This window comes from Homo sapiens, chromosome 16 (genome assembly GCF_000001405.40).
Source record: "Homo sapiens chromosome 16, GRCh38.p14 Primary Assembly".
NCBI lineage: Eukaryota > Metazoa > Chordata > Mammalia > Primates > Hominidae > Homo > Homo sapiens.
The window spans coordinates 76,275,723-76,297,917 of NC_000016.10; the positions used below are offsets into that span (position 1 = coordinate 76,275,723).

Genomic DNA, 22,195 nt, shown 5'->3' on the forward strand with positions numbered 1-22,195 from the left:
TGCCTCCCGGGTTCAAGCGAATTCCTGCCTCAGCCTCCCAAGTAGTTGGGATTACAGTTGCCTGCGACCACACCCTGCTATTTTTTTTATTTTTAGTAGAGATGGGATCTCACCATGTTGGCCAGGCTGGTCTCGAACTCCTGACCTCAAGTGATTTGCCCACCTTGGCCTCCCAAAGTGTTTGCTGTGTTTTCCTAGGGCCTAAGGTTTTTGCTGCCACTGACAAGGGTCAGGAAGGAGGTATACTCTGATTTAGGGGCAATAAGTCCTAGGGTGAGAGCAGTAAAACTGGAGTCAGAAAAGCCAAATCCAGTCCTCAGCATTTATTACTAACTCTATGACCTCTTCGAATCATTTAAATTCTCTGTTCTTGTTTTCTCTTGTAAAACAGGAAAAGAAAAAAGATGCATTCTGCTTTGTTTGCAGGCATGAGCTAAACAAGCATGTTTAGTTCTTACGGGTATTTCTGTCATTTTCTCACTCTTTGACAAACCTATCTGATCTTTGACAAACCCACTCTCATTATTCCATAAGAAAGTGGTGTTAAAGGCTTATGTTTCTTCCAATTTGTGATTACCAAGAGGCACTTAAGAACTCCAGGATTTCCATTTGTATAAAATCTAGCACATTATCAGTAAAACATCTTGACATTTATTTTAAATAGATTATTTATCTGCTATGAACCATGTGACATGCTTCTTGTTATGTGATAGTAACTCCATTATTTAGACATTTTAAAATTCCATTCAAGAAACAGTTGTATCCATGGACCAGCCATTCAAAGAGTAATTTTTCTTTAATCATTGATCTTCCAAATTCAACTTTACTCCTCTCTCCTTTAAGTCACCTGAATTACATCGTCACATTGTTCAGTGTTTGTGTGAATGTGTATGCATGTGTGTATGTGGTGGTGGTGGAGGTCCCTTTCTTCAGTATTCCCTCATTTCCTACTTTGGGCCTTTTTGGAAATGTTATTAAAAATTTTGATTATAGAATGGTACTTCATATTCACAGCATGATGCATTCATCAACATAAATCTAGCCAAAGCATTTCATTTGTGGATTTATACACCTGAAGCATTAAAATAAGAAATGTTAATTTCTTGCAGACTACTACCAGATGATTTTAAATATCTGCTAAGCAGGAATGTCTGTTCCCATGTGGGGAATTTCCATAATAAAATCCTGGCACCCTCGCTGAAGAGTACAGTTTTATAGAAACAGAGAAAAACAACAGCAAGTATTTTCCCTGAGGACGGTTTTAGCTACAATTTCCCAATGCTGCTTAGTTATTTCTGTCTTATTTTATGCTTTTGTTTTGAAACATAATGCAATTTTACCTGGATGCACTCCCGGATAATCAGGAATGGCTCAGTGTGTTTTCTGGCTCTTGCAAATGCAAGACCTCCAGAAAATCAGAAGGCTCCACCGCCTTGTCCCTTCCCCCACTCACACCTCCAGCTGGGAGAAAAGGGTTAAGGATTATTGGAAAATAGAAGAGAAGGGAGGGAGCCCCAAGGAGGCCCACGAACGGGAGGCCGCGCCTCTGGGTGCAGCGGAGCTCGAGCGCTGTTGTGTGTTTGGAAGGAAGGATGCTGCTGCCAATTTGTGGGACCGCTGCTGCGAGGAGTGGGCGTGGCCTCGGCGGTGTGGATGCTTGTTAGGAAAGATGCTGAGTGCTTTTCAGTGAGGAGTCAGGGAGGTGTGTGTGAGAGAGAGAGAGAAAAGAGAGAGACAGAGACGGGGAGAGAGAGAGGGAGAGAGAAGAGAGGGAGGAGGGAAGAAGAAAAGACGGAGGGAGGTGAGGAGGAAGGGAGGGGGAGAGACAGAGACCTAGAGGGGCTGAAGACCCAGACAGAGCTGGCAGAGCTACTGAGAAGAGGACTGGAGCGCTCTGAGAGCCTCTCAAGATCTTTTGGGGGAGCCCAATAAATGTGAACATGGGATCTGTCACGGGAGCTGTCCTCAAGACGCTACTTCTGTTATCTACTCAAAATTGGAACAGAGTCGAAGCTGGGAATTCCTGTAAGTATACAGCAAATGATTTAAAACTTGCTGGGGGGCTCTCTGCAAAACTTTGATTCTGTTGGTTTGATGATGATTATTTGCAGCTGGGATTGCTGCAAAGCGTATTGCTGTAAACCAAGCATCACTTAAAAATCTTGCCAATGTGACCGGTTAACACTTGTCTCTCCTCTTGGTCTGGTCAAAATAGGCAAAGTGTCATTTCTCTTTTTGTCTACTCGCAGAATCTTACCCTCTGGTCTTTGAGTATTCATTGAGAATGCCCAAGTTCTAGTAAAACATGAAATTAGCATCTTATCGGGGGAATAGCCTGTGAATATCTTCATTTCTTCTTTTTTAAAGAACTACTGAATTTTATTGGAATTATGTCTAAGAGGAAAACAACTGGCAGACTTTACATTATGCTGCATTGGCTTAGATTTCTGAAGTTTGCAATTGGGCAGACCAGTAGCTGCCTGCATCTTTAAAATAATGCAGGCTAATAACTGAAATGTACTGCAGGCTTCAGGAGCACCAGCACTGGCTGAGGCGAGTCTCAGTATTAAGAGCTGTGCCCTCGCTGCTAAGAGAATGAGACTTAGCGCTCTCCGGAAAGAGGAGCCTCTTCCTACATTTCGCTTAAAGGAAAACCAGTCAGGTGGTCTTTCAAAAGTAGGATTCCTTTGTGGTTGAATGCTTAACTGCATAAATTTGTAATTGAATGTTCTGATGAAATAGAACCTATTTAGGGAAGATTGAAATCTTATTTATAATTTAGATATCATCCATAATAATTTGGCAGACTCCCTTCATCCACTCTTTATTAGAGATAGAAAAAGTTTTAAAAGTTATCTTTGGCTTAAATTCTCTAAATGGGAGAATTTTCCCCTCCTGATTAATGACAAACAAGCTTGGCAAATACAACTTTTTATTTTTTCTTGGATTTTAAAGGAAAAGCTCATTTGCTTTCCAAGAACTGGCTATGAGGCCTGTCCAGGAATTTATGTTGCTGCTGTATCATCAGGCTTAGATTTGGGGAACAGAGGCAGTAATCAGACATTTGCTATGGCATATCACTTGACTATGTTAAGAGTTCTGATATGTGAAAAACATGACAAACTCATGGGCACAAGTCAAATGTCCCCTCACAGTACCTGGCTCCCGTGATTTCGTGTTTCAGTTCAGAATGGGCTCATTTAATGTCACAGGGTATCCATCACTCTGAAAGAAGGAACCTCACTTCAGGTGCTGCACATCAGATTCAACTTTAGTTTGAGTGTTGTGATAATCTCATAAGTCAATAAAATGTATAATTTCACCTAGTCAAAACCTTGGAATCTTATAATGGTAGCATTAGAAAAACATTGCATCATACAAGCAAACAATAACAACAACACCCACACACAAATGGAAGTTCTGTAGAAAAGGCATAAGTAATTCATCTTCCAACCACTAAAGTTCAACCAAAAAGAAAAGCACTAGAGGTCACTCTTACAATGTAAAGCACATCACCCCAAGCATCCTTCCCTCAAGAAAAGCAGAGCTTAAATCTGGCCTGTACTCCATTCAGTCTTTCCACTAGACTGCCTGTAGTTGGGTTTAAAATACATTAATCTAATTATTTGGGCTGCTAGTTGTTTATGTTTGCTTGTTTTCTTGAAGCTCAATAAAAAGTGTAGGGTGTACATCAACATTAAATAGCTTTCTTTTGCCATATATCTTCTTAGAAAAGAAAAGGTGCTGAAAGAGATCTGAGGAGAGTGTAATATTTATGTCTGCTTGGCTCTGGTTGGATCCCTCACTGACACTTAAAATTTCAGTGCTGGTTCTATATTCTTTCAGCCTTGGTTTGTTAAGGAAGTAGTCTAATGCTCTTTTAAACATCTGATGAACTTGCAAAACCTATACGATTTTTCATTATAAAAAACATTTAAAGTTGGAGTTCTTGCTTACCATGCATGTGGAGTTGACTGTTCTTCAAGTGTCAAAAATAAAATGAAATGACCTTATATAATTAAAGTTGCACTCAGTAATTTATTGTGAATATTTTGACAATATGATTTGCAGCAGTATGTGTAAAAGAAAATATTTCATTTCTCAATTTCTATTTCATTTTTCAATATTTAAGAAGTATTTTCTTTTTGGAAGAAGTAAGGTCTACTTGTACCAAGCCATGGTGGAAAGTACTTCATATGTTTCATCCTTTTTGGAAGGACAAGTGTATATATATTTCCCAGCAAGACTGGAATTTAGTGTAAGGACAAGCAACTATCAACCAGCATATGCATTTCTAAAGTATTATAATGACTCCAATAATTCTTCTGGACAAGACTTTATATTAAGAAAAAGTGAGTCAGTCTTGACTACCAATAGTAATATTGGAAATAACTGAATATAAATAAATAAAATTAAAGGACTAGAAAGACTTTTCCCCTTTATTTACAGCTGATGAGCCAGGAGCAAATCTGTCATCTACAGAGTCAGCCCAAGGTTGCCAGTTTGAAAGCTTTCATGGGACAGAACTCTGCAAAACCAGTACAGCTCAGGGATTAGGTGCACTTTAATTTGAATGTTAATTGATCCAATTAAACAGCAGGGAAACTTTACATTAGAAGGATTCTGTTCAAAGACAAACATATATGTTCACATATATGTATATGTGCTCATTTGTATATAGGTATATGTGTATGTAGATATCTAAACTACTAGACTCGTGCTCATTTGTATATACGTATATGTGTATGTAGATATCTGTAAACTACTAGACTCATGTGCTTGCATATTTTTGGTGGCCCTGTTAAGTACTTATCTGTCTAAAGATGAAATATGTTGAATGAACCACGCTCCCTGCCTACTAGTATCCTGTCTGACATTTCAAAAGCAGTGGACTAGCCATAATTTTTTTCTCTTTGTTCTCATCAAGATGAGCTTTTACAATTATATTGAAGTGTCCCTTCCATCAAAGTTTAGAGACGGATCCTTGCAGATGGGTGTGCTCTTTGAGAAGCTGCACTGGCTGTTCTTGGTTTCTTTGCTTGCTACTAAGAGACATGCATTAAGAACAGAGACATTTCTCTATTTTTTAATAGCTCTTATAAATCCAGTTTTTGAACATTAAGACATGGTTGAAGATGGGGTCAACTTACCCCAAAAGAAGGAATGGGTACAGTAGTAAGGCTGATAAGAGTTTGCTTTTATTTTAACTCTTGCAGATTATGTGAGGGAGGCTCTCTAGTTACTGGTATACTGAGCCGTACTCTTGAGAATAATTAATGCTCCCCAATGACTTAATTAGAAGTTAACATCTCACTGTGTTCTTTCTTTTCTCTGATGGAAATAAAGGCCGTATCTGATACCTACCCTAAAAGAAGCACTGAAGGATAGATGAAGGCAAATTGCCTAAGTAGATGATCACTCTTGTGGGTCCTGGGAGACAGCTGGACAGATTCTCACATTGTTAAAACTCAACCTTGTAATTCTTTCTAGAAGCTACTTTCTTTTCCTCCCCCCACCATATTTACTCCTATAGCAGAAAATAACTAGAATGCAATAGTAAAGTACTGATAAAATATAATTCTATGAGGCAATGCATAAATGGCTAGCCCCTATAAAGATCAGCACGTACTTTGACTCACTTTTCTAATAGCAATGGTGATTTATTTTCATCTATTCAGTCCATTTTCTCCACTTCTTATTACATGCATCTCAATAATCTCTGATAAAGGCAGCCTCTAGCTCTGGAGATAACGTGACTCATGGGCCAACATGGGGATCAAACATAACTTTCACATAATACCTGGTGCTTACTCTAGGAAATAAAGATTATTGTCTTGTAAAATTAATTTTGGAATTTATATCATATGTAAGCAATTTCTGTATTGGAGCTAATGAGTATATCAAGATTAAATTGACTTTTGTTAAAGAAAATAGATTAATAGAATTATATAACATCTATCATAAGATAATAAAATATTTAACTCAGGTTGGTAAACTGTGGCCCATGGGCTGAATCTGACCTGCTAGTAGTGACTGTTTTTGTATGACCCATGGGCTAAGAATAGTTCTTCCATTTTTAGCTGAAAAAAATTAAAAGAAGAATTCTTCATGGTAAAAAATAATTATATGAAATTCAAATTTTATTCTTCCACTTATTAGTAAACCTGCATGACAAAAATTTCTACTCAAATATTAGTATTATATTTTGAATTTTATCAATTAAATTTTATTAAGATTGTTTACCCTCTTACTATGTAACTACTTACATAAGATTCTTTACTCTCTGGCACTTTATATAAAAAGTTAATTGACCCCTATTTAAATAATATACAATAAAATGATAAGACATGAAAAGTGTATAAATTATACTTCTATGATAAAATTTAGTCTTAATTATTTAGCACACAAATATATACTTGCAGAGTTGTGGTACTGAACGCAATGCTATTATTGCCAGGAACTGTAACAGAGGATATCTTCAAGTTAATGTTTCCTTGTATGTTTTTTCTTAAAGACTTTATTGTTCAAAAATCTTGATATTTCAGTGGGTATAAATTATTTGTAAAATTCCCACAGTTTTAATCTCAAGTGGTCTTGTTAGGATAAGATATTTGATGAAATATATAAGTAATATAAGTTCAATGAAGTATATAAGTAATATAAGTTCAATTAACTGTACAAGTAATTGCAACTTAGATGTTTTGAACAAAAATTCTGCTGTTATTTTACATTTTCATGAGTATAAAATATTCCACTCTATCTTAATCAGCAACTTACATTTGGAATCAAAGATCATATGAGGAAAATGTTTTTGATAGAAGAGTATTTTTGCTCCTGTGACTTTTAAAGCAGCAGCTTTCTAAAAATTCTGAAATTGGCCAACTTTCTAGAATAAACTGAAAAATAGATTTTCATTTAAGCACTGCCCACTAAGAGCTCATGATATTTAAGCAAGTGATTTTCACTTACCCTTGTCAATAATAAATTTCTGGGTAAATGGTTTGTGTATTTGAAATTGTATTTATTTTAGAATTCCAGGAACTGATCTTTGGCCCCATTTTATTTACGCTATACTTTTTCCTACAGTTTTTTGAAAAATTAAATTAAAAATATGATGTAATATCATTTAAAAACCCATTTTCATTTTTTCAGTTTTTTTTCAAAACAAATGGTCACTTGTTAAAATAGTTTATTTTTTCATTATATTGTTTTTAGTGCTTCAGCTTTAAATGAAGATTTCTAAGTCTCATCAAAAGGCCAATTTCCAAAAAGAAAATAAACCCCCCCACCAAAAAAACTAGGATAGTCTCAAAGAGCTTAACTGAAATATGACTTTCTCTGAGTGTCAAAGGAATTGTGATGAGATTCGTGATCATCCACTGTAAGTAGACAACGATTAGGGATAATGACATTGGCATTACATGGCTTTGAGTTTTTAAAAATAGAATATCAGCTCTGCTCTACAAATACCGATTTTTCTTGTTTAAATACTATGTTTAAAATTTAAAGCTATTCTACTTCAGATTAAACAATATTGAGGCCTTAATATTGTTCACTAATGAATCATATGACCTTTAGGTTGCCAATTAGTCCCAGGTTGTTTAAGAAATCGTTCTGTTATAAAGACACATGCACATGTATGTTCATTGCAGCACTCTTTACAATAGCAAAGACATGGAATCAACCTAAGTGCCCATTAGTGATAGACTGGATAAAGAAAACTGGTACATATACACCGTGGAATACTACGTAGTCACAAAATAGAATGAGATCACATACTTTGTAGTGCCATGGATGGTGCTGGAGACCACTATTCTTGGCAAACTAACAAGGGAACAGAAAACCAAATACTGCATGTTCTCACTTATAAGTGGGAGCTAAATGATGAGAACACATGGACACATAGAGGGAAACAACACACACTGGGGCTTTTTGGAGGATGGAGAGTGGGAGGAGAGAGAGAATAAGGAACAATAACTAATGGGTACTAGGCTTAATACCTGAGTGTTGAAATAATCTATACAACAAACCCCCATGACACAAGTTTACTTATGTAACAAACCTGCACTTGTACCCCTGAACTTAAAAAATAAAAGTTAAACAAACAAAAGAAGTCCTTCACTATCCTTTAAAAAATATTTTCATTTTGTTTTCACTGACTGAAAGTTTACAGAATGATCTAGCTCCTGAAAACAGTAGGAAGAGTAAGAAAAATGCATCCAACATTGTTATGTGCATGTTCAGATTGTTAGTTGAATATATCTGATGAAATATTAAATCATGCAGACTTTGACCTGATTGTCTTCCATGCTCTAGTGTTTCAATTATTATTTATAGCTTATTTTTCATTTTTATTCATTCAATAATTTTGACCTCAACTTTAGAATTTATCTATAATCATTGAAATTATATTTTTCAAATTAACTAGTATGATAGGGAAGGGTTGACCCATCACAGTGTATGTGCTTAAATAGGAGATGTTTCCTATATTGTTGCATGATGTTCCTATGTTGTGGGTGGTGGTGGCATGCAAATTCTTATAAAATGTATGGATGATTGTTTTCATGGGTATTTCAGTTAGGAATATTTAGGAATACTCTTTAACAGATTTTCAAGAACAGGTCTTGAGTTGTAGCATCAAATGCTAATATCAGTTTGATTTTGATCACTTTAAAAAGAAAAATCTCAGAAAGTGAAAGAAATGCCCCAAACCTCATGCAGACAAAAATTACAGAGTTTTGGAGACCCTGTGATTAACTGAAAACACTGAAATGAAGTAGTTTACCCAGAAGATTAACATTGGAATTGGAAGGATTCAGGGTTTTAAAAACAGGGTTTAAAATCTTAAGAAATAGTAGTTTACCCATAATTTTAAGTTACAACAAATTGTATCTCTAAATAACAAAAATGTCATTGACTGTTGAATTGTCTTCTTATATTTTTGGGGAAAATTTTGATGTCTAAGAGTTTAACACTTAAATTTCTTCCATGAGCTCTTAAGCTGTGATTGTCTGTGTATTGCAATTAAATATGCATGCCTGTATGTGTATGCATGCATTTATTTGACTTTTGAAACTGGCTTTCCTTGTTTTTAATCTATGATTTTTAGGCTCTCCAAAGTGCTGATTACTTCAGGGGGCTGATGGCTCTGTGTTGGTAAAGACCAATCTGACATATAATTGCACAAGCAAAGATACTTTTGTTTCTTAATTGACTTTTGGAGGACAAAGATTTTTTCCAAAACGTCTTTTGTTAGGGTCTTCATAGTTAGTTCATAGTTACTAACTACAGTTACATAGTTCTGTAGTTAGTGAAAAACTACAGAACTGTGTAATGATAAAGAATGTACATGCCAAACGCATTACAAGTTATCATTATTGCTTCAGTTTGCCCATGGAACATTGGTATTTGGAAGAGGAAGTGGATATGCTTGGGTGTTTTTTTTCCCCTCCTTCCAGTGAATTTTCATTATGGTTCATGGAAAAGTGGTACTCTAGTAATAAAACTGGGAAAATAGCATAACAGCAGGTAAAAATGAGCCTGTTTATGTTACAGTTAATGAGTCATTCCAATGTAATAATTGGAGAAGTGAGTGAAGCCTGAAAACATTTGACATTTTAAGTAGTTCAAAATTAGTAACTATAAAATTTTTTAATGCCATAAGTATTTAATAGAGCAGTGATGAAATTTATCTCCAAGGTTTTTAAATCACAACGGAAAAAAATGGTGTGATATTATCAGTTGGCCTATAGCTCTAATTGCTTTTTTTATTAAGTACCTCTCATTACTTGGCAGTGCTCTAGAATAAGATATTATGGGCTTCTAAATCGTAAAAGACATATTAGTTTCTGTAACCATTTTCTTCCCACTGGCAATTATGATACTTATAAATGGGGTCATAGGTTGATATTACTTTAAAAGCACCATGTAAATATATAAATTCACCTGCCTTCCTAAATTACGTTTATTGTATACTTTTTAGAAAAATTATAACCTGTAATTTCATTAATGGACTTACTCTGCAATTATGACCTACGGAAGTATTTTTTTCAATGTCCTTTGAATAAGGACACGGATAAACTCTCCTAGCAATTGGTTGTAAGCCTTAGGGTTGATAGTTGCTTGGATGACCTTGAACAGACATTTGATTCCCTTGGCCCACCACAGAGACCCCCACATTTTCCCATCAATATAAAGCAATTGCCTTTGCTATACCAGGCCCAATAGAGGGATTTCTTGGAAAATCTGAGAAAGTCAAATTTCTAGGCTAATAGCTTTGCTCTAAAAGAGTGCATGTAGATTTATATCTTTAAGACTTGTCTTCAGTATTCAAAGATACTATGTATTGGTATTTTAAAATCTGCTGGTCAGCTGACGACTGACCAAGGACAAAAAAGGAACTAGATTGAAAGTGGTCTTTAAGGGAAATGAGTTGCTGAGATAGAATTATCAGTGTGTGTGTGTGTGTGTGTGTGTGTGTGTGTGTGTGTGTGTGTGAAGATAACTGTGGGTGGGAATTGGAAAACAGACCATTTTGGTAGGGGAAATAGAAAGCATTGCCCCTAGGTGGCACATTTTGAATTAAATAGTGATGGGATGTAGAATAAGATTGCTTCATATTTGCTATCCATACCAGAGTAGTCTCCAGTATGCTTTTAAACCAGTATGTGGGATTAAAAATTAGCAAGAGGTCTTCTTGGCTCTAGTTTAAATTCACCCAAACAGAGAAGTGATATTACCCTTTTGCGATCTCAAAGATCTTTATTTTCTAGGACTCGGTGTAAAGACCTCAGGATCCCCAGTAGTTAACTCAACTTCTTCTCCCACCGTGGGTGCTAGTCTTTCTGAACCTAGCAATGAAGCAGAATATGTTGGGAGAGATTTTGGCTTAAAAATCACTAGATAAATTGAAGCATAATTTAACTCCTGAAGACAATGCGGTAAAGTGATACGGGTGGCAAGAGAAGGGCATGATAAACAAAGTTGAACATTTTTTCACATCTTTCACTTTTATCTCTCAATTTTGGCTGATTTTAAACAAAAAGAATTTATGTCCAAGGCAGAAAGCTGCAAGAATGCTTAGTGATCCTCATAATTAAGGATTTATAATACATATTTACATTTGCCATGTTTTAGATGTTTAGGACTTAATTAAAAGAACATTGCTAAAATAAAAGCAATTCTATCTAAATTGGTGATGAGGGAATTCTATGCAAGGTTGTAAAGCTGCTCAATTAGGCTCTTTTGTTTCATAGTGTGTATGATTTCTGTGCTTATTTGAACTGCTGTACTTTAACATGACAACTGTGTCACAATCCTGTTAAGAAAACTTCATGCTCACATACAGCTTCATAACACTACCTCTTAAGTATCAAAAGATGTAAGCTTTTCTAAAACAAATATACAAAAAATAGCAATAATTTGAGGAAAGAACTAGGGTACATTTAAGAAAGCAAAGAGCAAACACTGTAGATAACATTTAGTTTCTTAAACTCCTAGCATCCTTTATCACAAAATGAAACATGATAAAACAAAACATTTCATGGTCAAATACATACTAGGGGAATGGAAAAAGGAGGCTAATGTAGAATTTTAGCTACTAAAAATAAAATTGTGATCACCATAATTTGCTACGCTTAACACGCAAAACAGCCTGATTCATTTTTTTAACCTGTTCTCTTTGTAAATGATCACATTGGTTTCTTGGAAGCTTTGCTATGTGCTTGCCTGTGGGATAGTTTCTTTATATTTATGTATAATTGCAACATGAACCAGATTAGCATGAAAGTATGTAGGTAGTACCATTAATCACTGAAACATTCTCTAGAGAAGATGTCAGGAAGTTCTCTGTTTTTCTGAGTTAGCAAAATCGAGCCTCCTGTGATCATTTTCCTTTTTCATTTTCCTGGATATGAGGATGATCTGGCTGTGACATCTGTCGTGTTAGCGATGGCCAGGGTTGATTTGGCTGAGATGGCTGGTAAGGCAGCTGTTCCCTCTTCCTTCCTCACTGCTCCCTGTGACCCTGATTCACTCCATTTTATATCATACAATATTTTACCTACTACACATATTATTGTAGTTTTAGGTAAGCTTGACATAATGTACTGTTATATTTCACCAAAGGTACAGATTTTAAGAAAAAGCAAGTTTTGCCTTGCAGCTATATTTCATTGTTAGGCACATCCAACATTAAGTTGAGGCTTATGAACATGGCAAACAAATGTCTTCCTACTCAGTACTTGCTGATCTTTCCACTTTTGTCTGTCTTTACTGCTTGATATAGCTTGGCTCTATTTCCCCCACCCAAATCTCACCTTGAATTGTAATAACTCCCACGTGTCAAGGACAGGACCAGGTGGAGATAATTGAACCATGGGGGCGGTTGTCCCCATACTGTTCTTGTTATAGTGAATGAGATCTCGTGAGATATGATGGTTTTATAGGAGGCTTTCCCCTTCACTTGGCTCTCAGTCTTCTCTTGCCTGCCACCATGTAAGACGTGCCTGTTTTGCCTTCTGCCGTGATTTTAAGTTTCCTGAGGCCTCTCTAGCCATGCAGAACAGTGAGTCAATTAAACTTCTTTTCTTTGTAAATTACTCAGTCTCAGGTATGTCTTCATAGCAGCATGAGAGCAAACTAATACACTGCTTTTTCTTCTTCAATCCTGGTGTCCCCTGTGTCCTCTACTCTTCATTTCTTGGCCTTTGCATCTGTTGTTCCCTTTGCGTAAATTACCCTCAAATACTTCACTCTAAAACCTCTTGGAAAATGTCTACCCAAAACAAGCCTCATCTCCTTTGTCCATGGAGTCTCACCACCTCAACTTTAATCATTCTCTAGCAGAAATTTCATAGCACTTCAAATGTTTGCTTATTCCTGCCCTGATCATAGACTATCAAAATGGATTTTTAAAAAGTTTCCTTTGCAAAACTGAAATTTTTGAAAGACAGAAGTATTATGTTAATCACTTCAGTATCTGCAACATCTAGCACAGTGCCTGGAATAAAGAGCATATTCAGTAAATGGGAAAACAATACGTTGATGGATGATAATTTGTATTTTTTTTCAGTTGAAACACCAAAAACAGAGAAGATGAACAGAATCAGGCTAGACAAATTGGAAAATTGTGTTATTTTGGTGATTTAAACGTCCTTTTTATTTAGGATCCCATTGATTTTTGCTATCATTTTAAAACTTTGACTTTGTATTTAACTCTATTCCATTTCATTTCATTAGGTTGCATACATATTCTAGTCTGTCATAATCCATTATGGTACATATTCTCCTGGTCAACCTATTCTTACTATTTCTCACTATCTCTCTTTTCCTTTCCCTCTCACCTTTTAAAAAAAAAATTTATAGCAAATGTAATTTGATAGGCCACTACATCAAATTATTTTGGATTGAGGACTCTCAATAGACAAACAAAAGATACATCATGAGTATAAAATAAAATTGGAACAGCATCAGCTACTTCCAATCCATCCTCATGTCTTCCTATGCCTGTAGCACGTGCCCGATCATCTCTAGCAATTTGAAAGTAGTACTGAAAATTACTCTCCACATTATGAGAAGAAATTTTCAACTCCATCCAGTTTGGACTTCAAGTCTTTTGTATTGGTTTTTATTTTCCATTTTCTCTTTAAAGACTTTTCTCATTCACATAGGGTAGAAGAAAAATAAAATTCATTCTCTATTTTTTCTTTTCATTATTAACTTTTACAAAGCAGTGTGACCACAGCCTCCTTGCCCTTCTTTTGCCTACAAACATATGCAAGATGTTTCTTTTCATTGCCTTTAGCATTTTTTTTTTTTTTACCAGCATTAATGAGTTCCAAACTTTTATTTTCCGCCTGTTTTTTTTTGAGACAGAGTCTTGCTCTGTCTCCCAGGCTGGATTGCAGTGGCACAATCTCGGCTCACTGCAACCTCTGCTTCCCAGGTTCAAGCAATTCTCCTTGCCTTAGTCTCCCATGTAGTGACTACAGGCACCTGCCACCATGCCTGGCTAATTTTTGTACATTTAGTAGAGGCGGGGTTTCACCATGTTGGTCAAGCTGGTCTTGAACTGCTGGACTCAAGTGATCCACCCGCCTCAGCCTCCCAAAGTGCTGGGATTACAGGCATGAACCACCGCACCTGTCCTTATTTTCCTCTCTTAATTGCACATATGTTCCTTTTATTATTTTCTGGTAAAACCCATCACTTGTATTTAGATTCTGCTCACGTTTCATCCTCCTCATGGTACACATTTGTGATTTTTATTGCCAGAAGTTTATAGTCATAACTTTTCATGCATGTTGACATATGTTATCATTAATAATGACAAATATTCCTTTTGCAGTGGGCTCTGTGGACTCCAAGGTGGTGAAGTGTGCCCTGTGTTATTTTATTCTCACACAGGCCTGTGAGACAAGTGTTACTATGATTATTTTACAAACTAGGAAACAAATTTAGAAGGTGCTTCCAAAGCTACTGAGTAAGGAAGAACAAAAATGAGGCTTAGACCCAATGACTCCAAAATCCATTGTTCTTTGAAATGGAAAGTGCCCATCTTCTCCCTGCATCTGTGAAATCTCCTCTCCTGAATATCAAAACCACACATGCTCATTCTCAAGGTTCTCGCTCTGGCACGATAGTAAATTCTAAGAACCCATATACCACATATGCTCATTCCTTCCTCTTTTTTCCAAGGATCTGTCACTTTCATCTTAACAACAAGCCCCTTTTGATTAGTCGGAGTGAAGTGGCAGGCACTCGCTCATGTAGATAACTAACGTTTTCTCCTCTGAGTGTACACTGTCCTGCTTGCTTCTTGGTACCCAAAGACCTATTCACTTCCTCTAAATTCCTTCTTTGAGTCAACAATTTCAAGAAAAGGGTAAGTGGTTGAAACAGCCTAAATCACAAAGAAAATCCAACTCCTTTCTGCAAGATTGCAGCACTGCCTGACCAAGGCATTCTACCAGTTTTGTTCCTTTCCTCCATAAAAGCTTCACTCCTTCCCGATGTTCAGAGACATATTCCCTTTGGTGCCATATTAGTCTTCTATGGCTGCCATAACCGAATACCACAGAATGAGTGGCTTAAACAATGTACATTAATTTTGTCACAGTTCTGGAGGCCAAAAGTCCATCAAAATGCCATCTAGGTTGGTTTTTGGTGTAGCCTCTCCTCCTGACTTGCAGATGACCACCTCCTTGCTGTGTCTTATGTGGCCTTTCCTTTGTGCACATGGGAGAGAGAGAGCGATATCTCTGGTGTCTCTTACTCTTCTTATAAGGGGCCAGTCTTATTGGATTAGGGCCTCACCCTTACAACCTCATTTAAACATAATTGCCTCCTGTTATGGCCCTCTCTCTGAATAAAGTCACATTGGGGATTAGGGCTTTGACATATTAATTGTGGAGTGGGGGGTATAATTCAGTCCATAACAGGTGCTCTCACTGTTGCAACTGTCTAAATTACATTGCTTTTTTTCAGTATTGGGAAACAATTTTTGAAAGTTCAACAGTAGATACATTGCTTTTACAGGTTAAAACTTAACAGCTGAGTGGAGTCATCCTGAAGTTGAATCCTGGTTCAGTGCATTGCCGAGATCAATGGCATGGCATTCTCATCCATCAGCCACCACTGCCTGGTGGACATGGGGGTACCACTATCTATCCCTTCTTTTTCTCTTTGCTTTTATCTGCACCTGGTGCTGTCTAGGTGCCTCTAGTACCCAAGAGTTTCTGATATCCCAACATTTCCATAGCCATTATCACAAGTATTATTTTATCCCCTTCCAAAGTACTTTCTTCTGTATGTTACCCAGCTCCAGTTGTGCTGTGATTTGCTCTGTGTGTTTCTCATATCCCCTTCTCAAAAGTTGATTGTACAGTTTGTTTTATCTGGCACTTTCCCACTTCGTAATCAGTAAATCTCAGTACACACAGCTCCTCCTCCTTCTTCCTGTGATACATTCTATGCTTAGTCAAAAACAAACAAATAAAACATAAATAAAGCAAACAAACAATAATCTTTCTAGTAAGTTTTGAAAAGTCAGTTTAAAATTTATCATCTAATTTTAAATTTGTAGGATGCCCTCCACGAATTGAGAACTGGGACAGATGCTTGCCATACATTATTTCAGTCAATCTTAGCACAGCATCTGTTCATGCCCAGTGTTTTCTCATACGCATGCTTTCCCATCCTTTCCAGTGCATTTCTCTTGTGGCTAAGTAGCCTTTGGATTTATCTTTTCAAAGGTTTCACAGTAGCCCATCAAGTGGATATACTTTTATTTAAACATTCCTCTATTTTGAACTCATTGGTTGTCCATTGACTTATTTTTTGATTTCTCAGTCTATCAGCATCTGCTTGTAGTAGTATATGGCTCCCTTAAGATTCTTGTATTTCTCTAATATAACGGTATCTTAACCCATTTGCAAATGTCAATGTCATGAACTGTTCAATGTCATCCAACTTTGTCTTGCAAGAGTCCACATTTCTTTTGGAAGGAGAAATGTAACGTTACCACTGTCTCCTTGCACCCCTCCCCTTCCTGCTCAAGAATTTATGGCACTTAAAGATAATTCCTTGCCTCTTCGAGCACTATCATTTGTTCAACCATGAACCTGTGGTGGTGGGTACAGACTGTCATGTATGACGGATCTCAGAAGTGCATCTGTCACCCTCCAGGAAACCCTTTCACTCATCAATTGGTCTTGTCATTTATAGGCACAGCTGTCTCTCCAGCCCTCAGCGGCATTACCAATCTTCCCTACATGTGTTCCTCTCTGGAGCTCAGTGCCTGTGGCCTCTGATAGGCTGCTGCAAATGCAGGTTTTCGGTTGTAACCATCAGCCTAGTGTCTTCTCCAGAGGCATGATTTACTATTTATGGGTAGGACCTCCTAACTGCTGTATCATTCCTCTCTTGGTACTGATTTTGATTTCCTTCTGGCATCATAGAGTTTTCTGTCTTCCTTATCAAAAATATTTTTTTTTCTGTCTTTTTGAAGAAAAAATAGGCATCTTAAGAAAACAGACTAGTGTTTCTCAATACTTCTACTTTCTGCTTATCAGGGACAGCAACCTATATTTAATGAACATCAAAATGAAAAAGAAAACACTTCAGATTTAGAATTTTGAATGAGAAGTCTGTTTCCATTGCTAAACCAGAACCAGTGCTACTTAAGCCAGTCTCCTGGAGAGTGAATATGATTCTGTAAAATATCAAATATGCTTTTGAGTAGTGCTACTGATTAATTCCAGCCACTTTCAAAAAAGAAAAATATCAGAGACTTTCAGGCCACGTTTTACCTCACTCTTTCTTAGACTGTTAACCCCTATACACCTGTATAGCCCAGCTCTCTTTATAGTTATGCCTGAAGCTCTTAATATTTCTTTTTTCTTTCTTTCTTTTTTTTTTTCTTTTCCGGAGCCTCACTCTGTTGCCAGGCTGGAGTGCAGTGGTGCAATCTCGGCTAACTGCAACCTCCACCTCCCGGGTTCGAGCGATTCTCCTGCCTCAGCCTCCTGAGTAGCTGAGACTACAGGCATGTGCCATCACGCCCAGCTAATTTTTGTATGTTTAGTAGAGACGGGGTTTCACCATGTTGGCCAGGATGGTCTTGATGACCTCGTGATCTCGTTTTTCACTATTCACAAGCACCTTTAAGCATTTGCTCTATCAAACAAAGCAATGTGATCGTAATTTTAATGATATTTTCTTTGATATAACAATATTTATGAGCTGTTTTCTAGTTTTCTTCCTATCTACCTGTCTATTTACTTGTGTATGGTTTACACAAGTAACAAAATATTAAGGGAAAGTGATTTCAGAGGGAATTAATTAATTTGTTCTGAAATGAATTTCTTCTTAATTTGTATAATCAATTTTTAGGTGGATTTGAGTGACTGCACTTAAGGGATCACTTGACAGAGCATCTCTTCATAGTTTTATAGCTCTTTGCTTGGAACTTACTGGACATTGTTGAAAATAAAAGAATTTAATCACATTTCATATGCTAGGCAAAATATCAGGTGAAATAGTACAAGCAAGTGGCTGATCTTAGAGGTGCAAATCATGGCATCTAAGAACAAGCTGCTTTTTTTTTTTTTTTTAAAAAAAAGGATATAATTGATGCCCGTGACTGAATGTAGCATTTTTAGTAGTGTGGTTTGAACCGAGAATTGTATTTAGCCTTTCTCTTTATGTTCTACAGTCATTTCCTAAGACATCCATTCTTCTCAGAGCAAGAGAGGCAAACAGAGAAAGTCCCTGTCTGTCTATCTAGTTTCCATTTCAGGGACACTTCTTATTTCTAAGTGGACTTCCAGTGTGATATACAGAAAATAAATTATCAGAGATTTTGGAGAGCGAGTAAGAAACCCACTCATTCAACTTCTGAAACAGCTACATGTGAGTTTCTTCTTCCAGTCAGGGTGGTGAGGTACGATGATAAATGTGTCGCAATCCCTGCTATTCAGGGACCCACAAGCAAATGGAGAAGACAAAAAGTAACTCTAACAAAGAGCAGACTGTGATCCATACTACACTTCAGTATGGATTCCTGATCTAATACAATTCTGACTTATTTGGTAACCTGTGTGTTTCCTCTCATTTCTCTTAAAAATCAATAAATAACCAGTAATATCACTAGAGTTGACATCAGATGGGTTTTTATATTTTTCACCTACCTATGAAGTGATAGTTTAAAAATTTATCCCCAAGAATTACACTGGCTGAATATGTTTCATGCTAAATGTACTCTGTAATAGCACACTTTGGGACTCTGGTTATTTTTCCATTGACACTGATGATTCAGTGAATTGTATCTAAGAAAGAAAGAAACTAAATATGTTAAAAAATTTCTTAGTAAAATATTTTTTACATTCCTTGGATAGTTTTGGTTTCATACACTCACTCTTCTCTGGGTTGGGCTATTATTCATTCAGTCTATTAAAGTGTTCCAAAACATAGTAATTTCTGCAACTTCTTGGGGTTTCACTTTACTCTGCACATTTCATTCATTTATTCACTCAACAAATAGTTAGTAAGCCTCCACATTGTGGTACCTGTCATTACACATGTCTTCAGCACCAGTTTTCTTGAAATGTTATTATGGTCTCAATCTGTAAATTCTTGCTCGCAATTGAGAACAGAAGTTTCGACTCTCAGATACACAATGCTTTTGTGACCACATTTTATGCTGAAGGTTTTGCTTTTTTCTTAAGACAAAATGTATTGTATTGTTTAAGGTGCTTATAGGGGGGCCGGTGTTCTTACAGGCAATGTGCTCAGAGGCTGTGCTCTTACAGCTCACCCTGGCTTAAAGCTCAGCTTTGCCACTTCCTGGTCCTGTAGAAAAACAGCACAGTGTGGTAAGTGCAATGAGGGAGAGGCATACACAATATTTGGAGTGGTCACAGGCAGAACATCAGATGTGAGCAGTGGGAGTCAGTGAAAGGTGTTTACTGAAGGATGAATAGGACAGCTAGATGAGGAAAGAAGGCGGAAACACATGCCCATCATAGCGAGGTCCACAAAAGCATGGAGTCTTTGAATGCACCACAGTAGTGCAGAAGGACAAAAATGTTCAGAAGTGGCCAGGTCATGAGGAATCCTGTAGGTAAAGCTAAGGACTAAGGATCTGATCCAGAATCTTGAGGGGTCATTTTATTACTATAAGTGTTATGCATGCACATGTGTGTGACACTGATTAGATTTGCTTTTTATAAACTTAAAATTCTCAGGAGGGTGAAGGATGGGAATGATAAAAAACAGGAAATGGAGTCTAACTTGAGTCCACAGAGACTAGATATTAAGCTGGTGAACTAACTCCTGTAAAAAGTAATAAGAGCTACAGAAAAACAGAGACAGTGACAATGCTAATAAAGAACAGGCAACAACAGAGTTGTTCCACATGAGCACGTAGGACTGACAGCACGTCATGGCTGTCGGAAAGTAGTGACATGTGAGAGGAAGGAGTGGCCAATTCAAGTTGGTGGCTTTTGCTTTTTATTGTATTACAATAAATGTGCTTATATCTTCCAAAGGATGTACTATGCTTTTTGTATGTAGCTACTATTCTTCTGAATAAGAATTTATTTATTTATTTTTTGAAACAGAGTCTTGCTCTTTCCCCCAGGCTGGAATGTAGTGGTGCAATCTCAGCTCACTGCAGCCTCTGCCTCCTGGGTTCCAGCGATTCTCCTGCCTCAGCCTCCCAAGTAGACTAGCGGAGATTACAGACATGTGCCACCATGGCCAGCTACTGAATAAGAAATTTTAAGTGTGTTCATTTTTTGAAACTCTCTTCCTAAACTTCTCTACAAAGGATCGTATTTAAAAGCTTTTTTGAGATTGTGTGTGATTTCTACAATGCAATGTTTGAGGAATATGCCATGGTAATGTATTGAGTAAAATCTTTCTGAAATAAGGCTGATACAAAATGTTTTCTAACATTATGTATTGTTGCATTTTAATGAAATATTTTGCTTTTGGCAAGAATAAGAATTTATCCTGAATTGAAGGTTTCATAGGTGATTCTTCCGCAACACAGAGCATTATAATGTTTTCCTGCCTTCCATTCAAATACCTACCTCCACCCCACCCATTTGACTTAAATAGTAAAGATTAAATACATCTGCCTTATGATAGAAGACTGAATTCCTATAGCTGAGTTATTTCAATGCTTTGGGAAAGATACATTTAGGGCTTATGTATTTATCATTGGATGTGTAAAAAGAGAATTTGGTAAAATGATAAAATGGAAAAGCAAGTTTAAAATTTTATAATGTGTTCTTCAAGTTATATTCAATTTAATTAAGCAAACATTTACCAAGTGCCTGCCATATTGAAGTATGTTCTAGAACACAGGCATATAAAGATATAGAGATGCTGATCTCAAAATGGACGAAAGAGAGAGGCAGAGAGAGAGAGAGAGAGAAGAAAGAGAAATGGTATAGCTAATCATGATGGTACAAATGGTACTACTTTTGGAAATTCCACATCAATTTGAATCCAGTATTTTTGCTGTATCTAAGGATTCAGCAGCCAAAGATGAATGCTATTGAATTATTGACCATATTTGATACCCCAAGCATTGAGAAGAGCTGAAATAATTGCCCCTCCAGAGAGCTTTAATTCTCCAGTGTGTTCTGTAGCATTAAATCTTATGAGATTTAAAAATCCATGGCAGGAAACATTTGAGGCTTCCAGTTGCTCTCCGTTGGCAACTGTTACATTTTTAAAATATGCCCCTGGACATATCCAGCCATGAAGAAAAACCCAGAAGGTTTTCACTCAACAAAGTTGTAAAGAAGTAACCTTTAGTAACTTATAACTGAACTCAAAAGACTTAAACATAAGAGGGAAATCTCTTTTTCAAAAAGTGTTTTAGCATTTTGGACATCAGAATTGCAAGTACAACAAAACAAACAACTGCTCTTTAGAAAGCTATTTTAATTGATGGCACTGTTTAGCTAAATCTTCTTGGGCATTTAGATTTCATCATTTCTAAAACACTGTTATTCAATTTAATTTTGCTTGAAACCAATACACATGTATTTGAAATCATATTGACTGGGAATTTGGATCCTAGCAATATAAATTCCCCACATCACAAAGTACTTGAGGTGCTGAATGAACTAAAATAAAAGATAACTATTTATATTTATTTTTGTTCAATCATAATAATGTATTTAATTTATTATGTTGCAGCCCTAAAGAATTAAAGGGAGCTGTTTTTTCAAATGTGCATGCTCCGAGTTGTGTTACAGTGAAAAATTAAATTCTTAGTACTGAGGAAGAAGATAATTTTATTTGATTTACTTGACTTTACTTGATTATAATCTATTGCTGAAATTTCCCCTGGGGTCATTGAAATATATGTTCTCAGGCTATGACATAATCTATTATCTTTTAAATTTATCAACATTTACTATACAAAAAGAAGCTCAGAAGCTTATGATAGATAGATACACAATCCTTCACTTGGCTACTGGTTATATGCAAATCCTTCAGCATGCTGTTTCAGAATACTTTATCCAAGAACTTCAGATAACTTGCTCTCTTTAATTTTGTTTGGCATCTGCAGCATTAAAAAATATCTGTTAAAAACTTTTATTTTTTCATTTTTCATAAAAGAAGACCTGATAAACCAGATACTAAATTAGAATCAGAAATAGTCTCTGCTTCTCCT

At 36.5% G+C, this 22,195-nt stretch overlaps 1 protein-coding gene and 1 pseudogene across 14 annotated transcripts in view; both read left to right on the forward strand.

Moving 5' to 3' along the window:
• Window positions 1-1,678: 1,678 nt before the first annotated feature.
• The window catches only part of CNTNAP4 (contactin associated protein family member 4), a 283,357-nt gene continuing 262,840 nt past the window's right edge, over window positions 1,679-22,195 (forward strand). For 13 of the 14 annotated variants that reach the window (NR_136216.2, NR_136210.2, NR_136213.2 and 10 more), the window contains exon 1: window positions 1,679-2,025. Coding sequence is in view for 7 of the 14 variants with exons in the window: in NM_033401.5 (NP_207837.2) it covers window positions 1,941-2,025 (85 nt within the window). In the remaining 7 variants the exon portion in view is untranslated. Of the gene's footprint in view, window positions 2,026-20,140; window positions 20,400-22,195 lie in introns of all 14 variants that reach the window. The other variant, NM_001322189.2, reaches the window with a different exon arrangement.
• Window positions 11,908-12,017, forward strand: RN7SKP233 (RN7SK pseudogene 233; annotated as a pseudogene).